This window comes from Homo sapiens, chromosome 12 (assembly GCF_000001405.40).
Source record: "Homo sapiens chromosome 12, GRCh38.p14 Primary Assembly".
Taxonomy (NCBI): Eukaryota; Metazoa; Chordata; class Mammalia; order Primates; family Hominidae; genus Homo; species Homo sapiens.
In genome coordinates this window covers 115,407,553-115,422,909 of record NC_000012.12, presented here as the reverse complement: position 1 = coordinate 115,422,909, position 15,357 = coordinate 115,407,553, and the positions used below count along the sequence as shown (strand labels likewise).

Below are 15,357 nucleotides of genomic sequence, written 5' to 3'. Positions count from 1 at the left end.
CTTTCTTTCTTCCTTCTTTTCTTTTTTCTCTCTCTTTACAACTACTTACTGAGTGCCCACTACATGCAAAAAGCTCTTCTGTGTGCTGAGGAATGTGACAGTGAATAAATCATTTAAAGACTCTGCTCTCATGATGCTTCCAATAGGTTGTAGAGACACAAGCAAGTTTGTTAAGCAGTTTTAAATGCTAAGATGAAAAATAAAGTTGGATAAGGACAAGGCATCCTGATCGGGGGCTGTTTTAGTAACAAAAATCAGGGACCATTTTTGGACATTTCAAGAGAGATGTGATTGAAGTGAAGGAAAGAACCATGTAGTTCTCAGGGGAAAGCATTCTGGAGAGAGTGAAGAGAAAATGCAAAGGTGAGAAGTGCCTGGGGTATCTGAGGAGGAGCAAGTTGTTCAGTGTGGCTGGAGCAGAGAAAGCAGGGGCAAGGTGTGAGGTAATGGGGTCAGGGAGGTGAGCAAAGGACGGATCCCATAGGGCTTTGCAAGCTATGGTGTGGGTTTTATTGTAATTTGACCTCAGGTCATTGGAGGCATTAAGCAGGGTGAGGGTATAATACGGCTTACATTACTGTAACAGACATCTTGCTTGCCTTGTGAAGGACAGAACATAGCGGGGCACAAGCAGAAGCAGAGAGAACATCTAGGAGGCTGTTGTGATTGTCCAGATGAGAGATCATGACGCTCAGGGCCAGAGGGGTCGTGGTAGAGGTGATAGGATGCGGAAGGATTCTGTGTATACTTTGAAGGGAGAATCAATAGGATTTGCTGATGGTTTGGGTGTGCATTGAGAAAGACAGGAATCAAGGATGAAACCAAGGATTTGTGCTGAAGCAACCAACTCAATGGCTTCTCTGTCTGCTGAGATAAGGAATACTGCATTGTTGACTCTGTACATGTACCTGGTATTTGCTCAGTTAATGTTTGCTGACCGACTGGATGAATGAATGAAAGCTATTTTGGAGAGGGGGTGGAGGGTTGGGGGATTGTCTTAGAATTTCTGATACATTCAACAAACATTGATCGATTGTCTACTATGTGTTAGATTCTGTGCTCAGTGCTGTGAAATATATCAATTCATTCAACAGACATTCAGTGAGTTTTCTGATTTTAGGAGCTGGAAGAAATATAAGGGAATAAGATAGATATGATTAAGCCTCTATAAGGACTCACTTCTAGATAGGGAGGCAGGTGTTAGACATGTAAAGAAACAAGCAAAACATTTCCCAGCTGTATTATCAAACAATAAAATAATAAAGGAGAATAAATAAAAATAGTGTCCAGGGAAGGCATCTCTAAGGGGGAAACATATAATCTGAACCTGGAAAATGAGAACAGCTGAGTCACATGTAGAAAAGAGAAAAAGTCATCCAGGCAGAAAGAATAGACAGCTCAAAAGACCTGGGACAGAAATGAGCCTAAATACATAGCTCCCAAGGCAGAAAAAAAATTGCGTGGCTTGAGGTTAGTGAATGGGGCAGAATGACATGAGATAAGGCTACAGATGAAGGCAGGTGCCAGATATAATGATGAACAAGACAGAGACCTTGCCTGCAAAGACTTACAGGCCGCTAGAGGAGTCAAAGGGTAGACAAAAATGATGAATAAAAGAAAGAACTTGCCAAAGGACCTACAAGGTGGCCTTGATATTAGAGCTAAGTCTATGCGTAAGGTCTTGGTTCACACAAAGGTACGGAAGACACATTCAGTTCCTTCTAATCTTCCTCTCACTCAGCATCATAATAACATTTCTGAAATCAGAGCAGGTCTACATGGCAAAGAAGGAAAAGACGTTCCAGTGTGGTTATCCTGAAGCTACGCGAGTGTTTCAGACCAAATCCCCAGAACTACAAGCCTCAGGGAAACACATGCCAGGCTGTACAGGATCCTACGTGCAGTCCTGAGGGGACCCACTGTGCTGAAGACTGATGCATTATTGGTTTTTACTCCAGTCTTAAACATCTACTACAAGTTAAAATGCTCTTTTCCTTCTTTCTTTATTTTTTTTTTCTTGATTGTGAGCCTATGGGGTTCCAGAAAGTAGTATTCATTCATTCAAGAAATATTCATTGAAGGCCAGCTCTCTTCCAAGTACTATGCTTTGTGCAAAGGAGACTCAGTCTTCCCTTGTGGAGTATGCACTCTAATGAGATCAAATGTCATTAAAGAGGTCAGCAAAATAATTTGCATAAAGGGTCATGGCAAGAAGTTCGGGGCTAGAGGAAGCACCTAGCCATGGAACATCAGGGCAGGCTTCTCAGAGGCAGTGGCATCTATTCTGAGATCTGGAGAGGGGGCAAATAAAGGTAGCTAGATGAAGTGGGGTGAGCAGCGTGAAAAGTAATCCAGCCAGAGGAGATGGATATTAAACAGCCATTCATTCTTTTGAGTATTCCAATATGTGATGATTCAAAACTCTATCCTAAACCATATCACACTCCAAACAGAAGCTGCCATAACTGGCAAAACGGCAAGTGTGAGGTTTGGGGTCAGCTGGGCCTTGGGTCATATCTCAGTTCTTTCAGTTACTCTCTGTGTGAACTTGGCCAGACCATATCACCTCCCAGGGACTCAGTTACCTTGTCTTTTAAACGGGGGTATTAACGTCATTCTACTCTCAGGTTTGTAGGGATATAATAAGTTGGCCCATGTAATGGGCCCAGTGAAATACTGGACACATAGTAAGTGCTCAAAACATCATAGCTATTTTTCTTGTGCAGGAATAAATTGGCACTATAAAAGAACAGGCTGAATCTATTAAAGTTGAACATGTGTCTTTCTCCGATGCAACAATTGCACACCAACGTGGAAAATCTCATGGAAATGTATGTGCTCATATGGTCATTAAAAAACATATAACAGAATATTCATAGTAGCACTATTTATAGTAGCCCAATCTGGGAACTGCCCTGATGCCCATCTAGAGTAGAACAGATAAACAATGGTAGATTCATGCACTGGAATAATACACCGCAATGACCATGAATAATCTTCAATTCACACAACAGCACGTGTGAATATCACAAACAGTGTTGACTAAACAAAGTCAAAGACAAAAGATGACATAGTGTATGATTCTATTACATAAAGTGTGAAAACAGGTAAAAACCAATCTATGATTTTGGAAGTCAGGATAAGGGGTACCTTGTGGGAGGAGGTGTTAATAATAGGAGGGGGGATGAGAGGGACTTGTCGGGGGCTGGTAATGTGGTTTTTGGGTAATCTATGTGTCTGTTCTATGTTGTATTCCTTTTGGAAAATTTATCAAATTGTAAACTTATGATCTGTTCATTTTTTTTTACTTTTGGGATGTTATACTACTTCAATTAGAAATCTTAAAATATAGCTATTCACATAAGTATTCACATAAGTATATAAGTCAATGAAAGCTACCATTGTTCCGACATTTCAGGCTGGACTCTAGACCCCACTGGATGTTAATGTTGCTTTGTAGAATTTTTAGTCACATTTTTTCCTCAGCATTTTAGCCAACCAGTGGTCAGTGGCTACTCTTTCTGCTCACTGGTCTGAAAGCTGTGCCTGCTCTAATGACTTGTTCTTTCTTCTGGATTCTCTCTTGGATTTGATGGCTTTGGTCTTTAGCCAAATTGTAACTGACTTACCAGAGTTCTAATTTGGCTTTGTGGCTTTAAGAAGCTCTAAAGTTCTCATTTGGGTATCTGAAGGTGGATTATTTGGGCATGGGCTTTGTTGATTGAATTGCAATATTTTCTCTTGATTCTTTGAGTGAGGTAAGCTATGATGTGAATCATTGTTTCGTCCTCAGCCAAAACTTTGTGGGGGAAAATTAGCAAAAGCAAGAACTCACAACCGTATGCAATATTCTTCTAGCACCTCTGGACATCTCATAGGCAGTCTAGAGAAACAACAACATTTAGTCAGCAAAATGGCTCGTTAGCTCCTTCTCCATGTTTCCATTTTATGTTCCTAAAGATTGGGTTTATCTTTCATGGGCAGAGATATTCTATTTTTACTCTGGAAACATTGACCTCTGCTTTGCCTGTGCATTTTTTTTCACTCAACACAACTAAATGGGCTGAGGCTAGATGAACAATTTTACAGGAGTCTGAGCAGAAATAGTCACATCTCCCATTTACTGTATGCCAGGCACTAAGTGCTCTTTTTATAAGCTCATAACAAGAATCCCAAAACACAAGAACAATCACTGTCTATATTTAACAGATGAGGAAACTGAAGTTTAGGCAATTTCAGTAATTTGTCCAAGGTTGCCCTGGCAAAGAGCTAAAATGGGATTCTCACTGCATTTTGATTCTTACACCCTTGATCTTAACTATAACACAATTCAACATTTTTAGAATTCACCCAATTTCTTGGCATCCAATTTTCCTCATCTGAAGAATGGGGCTGATTAGACTCCTCTTTCAGGGTTATTGTCAGGATCAAAGGAAACAAGGCACTTCTAAAAGGTAAGTGGTTCTTGTTCCTACATAAATTAGTTCTAAAGCAATACTTCCCATCACTTACTAAGCTGTGTAAGCCAAGTCCTTTCCCTTGCACAATTCCAACCTCAGGGTATTCATCTAAGAATGTTTCTTAGGTGGTATAGAGGTCCTGGTGTGAAGGAGAAAGACCAGAAAACTGCTGGGACTGAAGAGAATGTAATCTTTAGTAGCCCTGCTGAATTCATCCATAGGTAAATTCCTCCAAAGAGAGGTTCAGCCAATTTCCAGAGGAATGATAAGGAAAGTTGGCTCTTTCTGAAATATTGAGTGCATCCTGTCACTCTTTGGCTTAAAAGAGTTCATCATTAATTCATTCATCTAATGATTATCAAATATTAAGATTTGGTAAGACATAATAATAGTAAAGCACTTACATTCTAAGCTGTGCCCTAGGTAATTTACAAATATTTACTCACTTAATCCTCCCAACAGCTATACAATATGAGGTTGGATATAAATATGTGCTTTGATTATATGACTTGAATCTAGACAGTCTGGCTCCAGAGTCTGTGTTTCTAATCACTGCACTATACTGTCCTTCAGTCTGCTGTGATCTGTTACCAGCTATTACCTGGAATGATATCTCCCTAGTGGGGATGGGTAACCCTGGGTTGGAGTGACATTTATCACTATTGCAACATGTCTACCAAACATTACACACACCAAACATTTTCTGCGAATACAAGAAAGGGTCTTACAAGCTATGTAAAGGCATTTGGATGCTCCCTCCAGATTGGAGACCACACCTCTTCATGTGAACACGCATATTTATCCCAATATTGAAGGGATTGTACCTTTCTCTCTACCCATGTAGACTGATATGCTTTGAGGACAGGGTAGCATGATGTTTAAAGCTGTATCCCCTACTCTGTCAACTTTGAATGAATGGATGCATAAATGAATGAATTGTGTCTTTTCTCTTTCTTCCTGCCTACCCCACTTGTACACTATGTGCTCACCATGTTGAAGTTTATCTTTTTCATAGCTCATAATTTTTGAGTACTTACCAACTGCCAGGTGCTGTGATAGGTGCTTATCCCACAGAATCTTCATGATAACTACCATGGTTTCAATGATGGTGTCCCCTCTAAAATTTATGTTGAAACTTAATCCCCAGTGCAAGAGTATTAGGTGTGGCCTTTGGCAGGTGATTAAGTCACCATGAATGAGATTAGCATCCTTATAAAAGGGGTCAAGGTTGAAAGAAACACCTTGTGGCCCTTCCATCCTTTGCCATGTGAAGACATAGCATTCATCCTTTTTGGAAGATGCAGCAGTGAGGTGCCATCTTGGAAGAGGAAATAGGGTTCTCACCAGACACCAAAACTGCCTGCTTGATCTAGGACTTCCCAGCCCCCAGAACTGTGAGGAATAAGCTTCTGTTTCTTATAATGACCTAGTCTGTGGTATTTTGGTATAGCAGCACAATTGGATCAAGACAATAACCCTGGGAGGCTTGTAGTTGTATTAGCCCCATTTTAGAGAGAGGGAAACTGAGAAGCAGAGAAGATAAGTAATGTGTTTATAACAGGTAGGCCCAGGAGTCCCCATGGTTTTCCTGGCTGTGCCATACCATTTCACACACCCTGCCTTCGCTCAGGCTGCTTCCTCTGCTTGAAGCACCTTGTTCCTCACCCATCCTGTTAGCTGGGCGCACACCTCCCCAATTTTTCCAAGGCTCAGATAAAGGCTCTCTTTTTCTATGGATTCTTTTAAGCTCTTCTCAAGGAGAAATGTTCATTCTCTCTTTGGTGCCCCCACTATTTTTATTAACACTTCTTTTCCTTTTCCTTTTAGCCATGTAATAACTCAAGCACACAGAAAAATACATACAGAGAATAAATGTCACAAACACCTATAGATAGACATTTAATGAACATTATTTTCTCATACTTTTTTCAGTTTTTTTAAAAAAATAAACTTTGTATGTACTTTCTCAAAGGGAGGAGGATTTTTTTCTTGGGCAAGGATGATCTACAAGGGCAAAAGAAAAGTAGATGAAAAGTAGTTGAAGGGAAAACTTGCTTTATTACACTGATAATTATGAAAATAGGTCATAAAATCTCACTAACCTGAAATAACAGTGAGACTTTACATGTCATAAAAATTAGTGGGAAGTACCAATTATTAAATGTTATAAATTTGAAAGCAGTTATAATCTAAAAGTTCATTTCTTTTGACCTAGGAATGCTTCAGTTAGAAATTTGTCTTGCTAAATAATCACAGATGGCTACAACAGTTTACTCTCAAGGAAGTTCATTGCAGTGTTGTGTAGAACAGTTAAAAAAATGGAAACAACTAAAATGCATAAGAGTAAAGAGGCTGATTATAAAAATCACAGTTTATTCTTACAATAAAATTATATGCAGCCAATAAAATGTATGCTGCTGAAGAATTCTAAATGTAATAAAAAGTTATTCATGATACAGTAAATTCAGATGGCAGAATAAAGAGTACAATACCAATTTTATGAAAAAGACACTAATAAATGTTTGTATCTATAGCTATGTTTACAAGTTTGTAATTAATTATATACAACTATACCAATATCTGGGTGACAGAATTATGTGTAATTTTTTCTCTCCGATGCTCCTGTATTTTATAACAATCATCTTTGTAATTTAAAAATAAGTTATTTAAAATGGAAAATATTAATAGTATAGACAAAATAATTACATTATTTTAATGCATTGTACATCTTACATGCTCAGCAGCAAATGAGTCTTGGTAAGTACAAAGAACTATCTATATCAAAATTACTTTCCAAAATGGCCTTTGTTAAAAATGCGTGAGATCAGAAGGTCTCGGATGGTGGCTTATTTCCCAAATGTGTTGTTCCTAACCTGACAGGTATGCTGTTGAATTCTGTGAAGTTCATCTGAAGGATGAACTTAAATGTGATTTGATGATCCCTGCCCATCCTGTAAAACTGGAATCTGAATATTCTTTTAAGAGGGTGGGGGCTTTGTGATCAGTTATGCACAACTGGCAGGGTGGGGATGTGTCTAGGATCTGGCTTAGGTGGGCACTCATGCTTGGCTGTAGAGTAAAATGCTGGAGCAACTGGGAAATAAGGAAGTGGCTGAGATACAGGAAAAGGGAAATGCAGGGCCTACCAGGGCAGCAATAGATGTGTTTCCCACAGGGCCTTCATCAGCGCAGGAAACAGAGGCAAAGATATTGTTGTGAGGCACAGATGGGGGCCTCAAGTATATTGTTCCAGGTGTGTGGCCTGTGATCATCGGGGACAGAAAGGAGAGGTCTTAGGCTGTGTCAGAATGAGAATGGCCTTGGTGGCCCATGAGCATTGGGACCAAGGGACATTCTAGTGGAGATCTGAAATAGGTCACTTCTCACTTCCAGGATCCAAGTTCCTCTGAGACCTTGTAGCCCAAGGAAATTAGACTGGGCATTGGAATCAGACACACCAGCCTTTAAGCACTACCACAGGCTCTCTGTCTCTCTGAGCCACAGTTTGCTCATTTGCAAAATGAGTAAAATAGGACCTAACTGTCAGGGTGGTTGTTAAGATTAATGGAGATACTAGGGTTAACATGTTTACTGCAGTGCGTTTTCAAATTAAACTCTCAGTATACAACATATGCTTTCCTTGAAAGCACAGCAGGACAATCCATTACTCACGGTACAATATATTTTGCAAAAAAAAAATTACCCTCAGGTATAACAATGTATCTGGGTTTATGATGACTATCCTCTACACCTCTTTCTTTTGATTTGTGTAAATTGCCTGAAAACCAGCCTACCTGTGAAAGGTATTGAAATGTTGTTAATGTATGGATTTGAGAATTGAGGAAATCATTTCAGATTCATGGGGTCAGTTCCTCTAATGCGATATGATAACGTATTTCAATAAATTTGTGGGGATGTGAAGGAAAAAAGCCACCATTATCAAAACACTACTTTCATCATTACCTTTACCACCACCATTTTTATCACCACGTCCATCACCACCACAAAGAGCAAGACCATCACCACCACCACCAGCATTAACCCATCAACACAACCACTATTGACCTTGTTAATAATAATGGCCTTCATATCTTTGCCAACACCACCGTCATCACCATCACCACCACTACCAACAATAACAACATAAAGAAAACCAGGAAACCTCACTTTTCTGTCCTGAAGATAATTCTTAACCATATTTAAGGCACTGTGCTAGGTGGCAGGGAATTAAGGATGAGTAATAATGGTCTCTGTCTTCAAAGGTCTCACTGTCAAGTGTATAAAGCTAAAATGGGTGCTTTTATAGGGGCGAGTTACTAGTGCCTAGATGGAGAGTCAATGCATAACTGGTTGGGGGTGGGAATAGATGAATGTGGTCCATTTCGATAGAAGAGGTAGAATTTTAGAAAGTCCCTAAAAGATGTTAAATTTCCCCTTGACCAGAAATGGCAAATGGGATGTTCCTACTCCATATCTTTCGCCCGTGGTAGACATCCATAAACCACCACAGCTCACTTTACAGCTGAGCCTGAAGGTGGTGTATCCACCTCAATACAGTGCTAAGGGCAGCCCAACCAGCTACAATGAACTGGAGTTGGCTCTGAAGAGAAACAATTTTCACCTGCCTTAAGAGAAAAGGCAAAAGTGCCTTAGGGCAGATACCTATCTTGCTAACTGTTATATCCCCAAGGCTAAGCCGTGGGCTTGTCTCCTAGATGGCTTTGAGTAGTACTGAATGAGTGGTTGGATGAATGGGGATAAGAGAGTATTCCATATGGAAGGCAGGGTATGGGTAGAATTCTGAAAGCAGGAAACTGCAGTGTGTGCTTGGGGAACAGCACACAGGCTTTGAAAAAGAATGAAGAGGGAGACAAGATCCTATTTTGTAGGCCCTTGAATGCAACTACTAAAGGTATTTGAGAAGGAAAATAGGATAATGTAAACTGTTTAGATAACCTGCATAAATAATAGTCTAGTCACAGGTGGTAAAGTAGTCTACAGATGATGCTAATAAGAGCTAATTTCCTGGATCACCTGCTGTGTTCAGTTCTGATTGTTTAAAAATCCTTCCAGCAATCCTTTGAGTTAGGTGCTATTATCATTTCCATTTTACAGGTAAGAAAACTGAGGCATGAAGAAAAGTAACTCACTTAGAGTCACACGTACAGTAATTGGTCACGAATATCCGAATGGGTTAAATCCCTTTCTGAATGAAATTGAAAAAATATTCTTTCTTTGTCTCACAATGTTTTAGCTAAGTTTTCTTTATTTCCAGTTAGAACCAAAGAATTCATTCCCTTCCTTCTGTAGCAGTGGGGGGCAAGAAACTCATCTCTTATGAAGCTAATGGCAGCTGTTCTTCCCTCTCACCCAGCTGTCTTTTCCTGAAATAGGATAGGACAAGAATTCTAAACTTTCAGATACCAGGGAAAGAACCCTGGAGTTGGAGATCTGAGTTTGAATCCCAGCTCATCCATCATACTCATCTGGGTAACCCTAGCAACCAACGTCACCACTCAGCTCTGCTCCTCATCTGTCTATGGAAACATACTCATCTCCGTACTTGGTTCATGTGATCCCGGTGAGGATTGGTGAGGTTGCCTAGATGTATTAAAACATTTTGTATAATGTGTACACATATAGAGTCTGCAATCTATTTGTCCTTTGTGGCAAGTACCATGCTCATACGAATATAGTTATTTCTATAATAAAAATTATTATTTAATATTTGGCTCTTGAACTCAGCTGGGTAAGTGGTTGATTCAGAGACCTCTGATGCACTCTGCCCATCCCCTTGCCTTGGCTGTCTTTGATTCCAGCTGCTGTTTGGTGTCTGGTTCTATGCAGGGTCTGACCAGATTTCACGCAGGGGCAATACACAGAGTTCCACCTCAGGTTCACTCTGTATACCTCTTGCTCCTGGCCCCAGGTTTTTGCTTTTGTTGTCACAGTCTGGAACTCAGCAGAGAACCAAGTCTTCACCCACCTGTGTGTAACCTGGAAATGGCGGGAATTTAATGCCTGTTTGGATGAGCCTTTGATGAATAAGGGATGTGAGCAGGAGATGAAAACTTGCTTTTCCTTCTCCCAAGGCAGACGAGCTGAGGCACATTCCCAGTGGCTTCTTGGATAGTTCTGTCCTTTCATGGTGGCATACTCAATAACAACACATTCTTGTATTAGCTCTCTTCCCCCTGCAACCCCTCCCCAGCAACTCTGCTCCTCCAGCTCTCATTTGTTCCCTGGGATCACATCTGCTAACAAAGTAAAAACACATATATCTCTGTTTCAGCCTGTTTTCTGGGGAACCCAGGCTTAAATAATGTTGACTCTAGAATTTGGATCTTTGACTATTCCTCCTGTCACCCATGCATCTATCCCTCACTAGAGAGACTAGCGCAGTGTCTGGCACATAACAGGTAATAAATAAATACTTAATGAATGCATGAATAAATTAACAAGATGCTTATATCTGTAAGAAATTACACAAATAATTGGATTTATCGATCTAGGTAGCAAAGTACAGTGGTTAGAGGGCAAGGCTTTGGAAGTGAACAGCACAGTTTGAATACCAGCCTTGCCACGTATTAGCTGTTATCCTGGGCAAGTTACTTGACCTCCATACGGCAGTTTTCTTGTCTGTCAAATGCATAGAATAGCATGTCAAACATAGGAGGGTTCAATGACACCTTTCATGTAAAGTATTTGACACATAGGCATAAATCAATCATTGAAATTATTATTCATAGTAATAGTAGAAGTACAGATATTACATGAGAAATAATACATCAGAGAGCTCTCAGATGGGATTTGAAAGACACATGTATGACTTTGGGCACATCACTGGATGTGCCTTTATTTTTTAACTCGCTTTCTGCAGGGACAATAATTGCTAATCCACCTACAATTTATGTGATAATTGTGAGAGATTTTACAAAGCATAAACAGTGCTAAAAATGAAAATGACTTATTTTTCTCTGTGATATTGGTGGTGGATGGCACCGACCAGAAAGCATGTCTGATGGCTGGAAAAAAGGCCTTTCCTTTCGGAAGATGGAAATTCATTTGTCATTTCCGAAAAGTGATCTCCCTAGCTGACCACAGTGTGATCACCCGCTGAGATGTAAATCCTGGAGACAGGCAAAGGGAAACCGGGTTCCTGGAGGCCCTGAAAGGTGAAACCTGCGCCATATTTCACATGTGGCTTAAGCCCATTATCGCTGATGAAAACAAGATTTTTAAAGGACATGCTTCTTTCACTCTTCAGCTTCATTCAATGAACTTTTGACCAAAAGCAGGAGTGTTGTGTGCAGCCAAAAAATTCCTGCTATTTCCCACGATGTCATTGGACTGAGATATAGGATAGATTTTTTTAATCTAATCTGCAGAGTAGAGGTGCTTCTCATTTGATAACATGTTATCATCTTATCATCTTAACATGCAAAGTACCGCCCTTACCTCATTTTATTACGTTGTGTTCTGTTGTTTTATATGGTATTGCATTGCATTGTATCTGTTGTAGTTCCCTCTTTCATCCCAGTCCCACTCCCATCTCTCTCCTTCACTCACTGAAAGCATCTGAATGCATTCTCCTTTACATGTCTGAAATATGCCCTTAAGTACTTTTCCTTCTAAAACATACAGTATGGTTTTGTGCATGTGCTTGATTTACATAAAAGTTATCGAGCTATACACCTTACTTTCCACTTGAATTTTTTTATTCAACATCATGTTTTTAAGACCTCTCCTTGTTGCTGAATGCATATATTAAAATATATGTGTTTATCTTTTGTGCATGTGTGTGTGTATTTATTTCCAACTAATGCATAGAGTTTCATGCTACACATTCTTTACAGCTTCTGCATCATTCCTATAGAGCTGGTGTATTAGTCAGGGTTCTCTAAAGGGACAGGACTAATAGGATAGATGTATATAAAAAGGGGAGTTTATTAAGGAGTATTGACTCACACGATCACAAGGTGAAGTCCCATAATAGGCCATCTGCAAGCTGAGGAGAAGGAAGCCAGTCTGAGTCCCAAAACCCCCAAAGTAGAGAAGCCGACAGTGCAGCTTCAGTCTGTGGCTGAAGGCCTGAGAGCCCCTGGCAAACCACTGGTTTAAGTTCAAGGGTCCAAAAGCTGAGGAACTTGGAGTCCGATGTTCAAGGGCAGGAAGCATCCAGCATGGGAGAAAGATGGAGGCCAGAAGACACAGCAAGTCTAGTTCTTCCATCTTCCTCTGCCTGCTTTTATTCTGGCCTCTTTGGCAGCTGATTAGATGGTGCCCACCCAGATTGAGGGTGGGTCTGCCTCTCCCAGTGCACTGAGTTAAATGTTAATCTCCTTTGGCAACACTCTCACTGACACACTCAGGAACAATACTTTGCATCCTTCAATCTAATGAAGTTGACACGTCATATTAGCCATCACAGGTGGATACCTACGTTGTTTCCAGCTCCTTTCCACCACTACCACCATACAGATCTGTGTAAGATTTTCCCAGGAAGTAGACTTTTGGATCCTGAGATATATCTTATTTAAATCAGAATAGATTTTATTCAAGTCATGTTGAAATAAGGATGTCAAAGCCACTTGGTAGGTAACTTTCTCGGAACCCTTCCTCTCTATGAGTGTACATTTACTTGCATTTGTATAAAGAGGGGTTTAGATGAGAAAATATCTAAGGATTCTACCACTATTAAGATTCCACGACTAATTTTCAAGCCAGCTGTGTTTATCAAACAAATGCAAGGAAAGTTGGATGAAATCTGCTAGTCCATCATCCAAATATTTGGAAGTAACCAGATGTTCAGCATCTTGTAGACACCACCTAGGAGGCCTTTGTCAGTGTTCTCAGGTATATTTGTGTTATTTTAGTTTCCTAAGAATTCTCCTTGCTCAGAGAGCTGGTATAGATTCAGATTTGCAAAGATCCTGCAATACCTTAAGAATTTGGGTTTCAACTTAACTTAGGCTTGGCATCTATGTCTGTCTGTCTATCTATCTATCTATCTATCTATCTATCTATCTATCTATCATCTATCTACATACCTATAATGTATCATCTACCTATATATCTATATCTATCTCTCTGTCTGTCTAGCTAACTGTCTTCTTTTATCTATCTATCTGTTTATTTTGGGAGGGATTCAATACTATAGGGCTAATGAGAACATTGACTCTGAAGTCAGACAACATGGTACCAACACATGGGGGGTCAAATAACTAGCTGTTTGACTTTGGGCAAGAAACCACTTGGCACCTCAGTTTCCTTATGTACATGTTAGAAAATGAAAGTAATAATTCTGACTTCATTAGCTCCTTGTGAAGAACACATGCAATCATATATAGTAAGAATATAGCTCAGGACCTGGCACAGAGTAAATCCTGTGGTCATTTACAAAAAAAAAAAAAAAAAGTCATAAATCTTTTGACACTCTTCTCATGGGAAAATAGAAAATAGAGTCTATGACCCTTCCGATTGAATCTAGGTGGGCTTTTGATTGCTTTCATCAATGAAGTATGGCAGAAGTGATACTATGTGACTTCCAGGGTTAGGTCGTAAAAGGCAATGCAACCTTCCAGGGTTAGGTCATAAAAGGCAATGCCACTTGTGCCTTACTTGCTGGGGCACCACTGAGCCACCAGGTGAGACATCTAACTACCCCTAGGCTGCCACAGTGGGTAGGCTACTGGGAGCTATGTCAGCTGACAATCCCTCCTGCATCCAGCCTTCCAGCCATCCCTGTCAAGGCACCAGACACTTGAAAGTAGGTTTTCTAGTCCCAGCTGTTTTAAAGTTTTCCCGCTTGACTCTAGACATAGTGGAGTAGAGCTCACCCAGTTCCTCTGTGCCTTGTCCAAATTTTTGACTCACAGAATACATGAGATGACCATTGTTTTATGCTACTACATTGTTTTTTTTTTTTTGACAGGGTCTCACTCTGTGTCACCCAGGCTGGAATGCAGTGGTGCGATCACAGCTCACTGTAGCCTTGACTTCCCAGGCTAAAGCGATAATCCCTACCCCAGCCTCCAGAGTAGCCGGTACCACACCTGACTATTTTTAAAAGAAATTTTTTAGAGATGGAGTCCACTTATTGCCCAGGCTGATCTCAAATGCCTGGGCTCAAGCAATCCTTCCACCTTCCCCTCAGAAACTGCTGGAGATTACAGGTGTGAACCACTGAGCCCAGACACTACTACATTTGGGAGTAGATTATTATGCAGTAATAAAAATAAGACCACACTATACTATTCATATCACTCCTGTCTTTTGGTACAACACAGATATTATGCTTTCTGGGAAGAGGTGTTCTACCATTGATAGTAACTAACATTTATTGAGGGCTTACTGTGTGCCTGGTACTGTGCCAACTGCTTTCCAGGGATGTGTTCATTTATCCCTCACCATAGCATTATGAAGTGGGTACTATTTTATTTATATTTTAGAGATGTGGAAACAGAAGCCTAAATAATTTTCCCAAGGGCAAGTAACAACAAGTTGGTAAGCCTGAATTTCAACTCTGGTCTCTGAGGCACATAATGAGTATTCACAAAATGATTGCTTTGGGCATTACAGTGGTAGGGATGGCTTTCATTTCTGGTGACTTGGTAGAACATTGACCATGAGACAATAGATCAGAGAAGTTTCCATCCTCTACTTCTCAAAAATACCACCCCCTTTCCTACTTCTCATATGAAACTGACCAGGTTTTGCCAGAGAAACGATGTGGCATCAGTTCTTCCCCAGGTGGGGTGAGGCTTCCTAGAGAAATCCAAGAGAAAAGGCCCTCTATGTTTCTGTCACCAGGAGGGAAAATTCTCTGCAGAGGCATAATGAACAGGTATACAATTTCCTAACATGGTGAGTCCCCTCAGAACTGAGAGAGTGCCCC

At 40.3% G+C, this 15,357-nt stretch overlaps 1 long non-coding RNA gene across 2 annotated transcripts in view; it reads left to right on the top strand.

The window, feature by feature from the left end:
• The window catches only part of LOC105370003 (uncharacterized), a 389,555-nt gene that overhangs the window by 340,156 nt on the left and 34,042 nt on the right, over nucleotides 1-15,357 (top strand). The gene's annotated exons all lie outside the window — the stretch shown is intronic.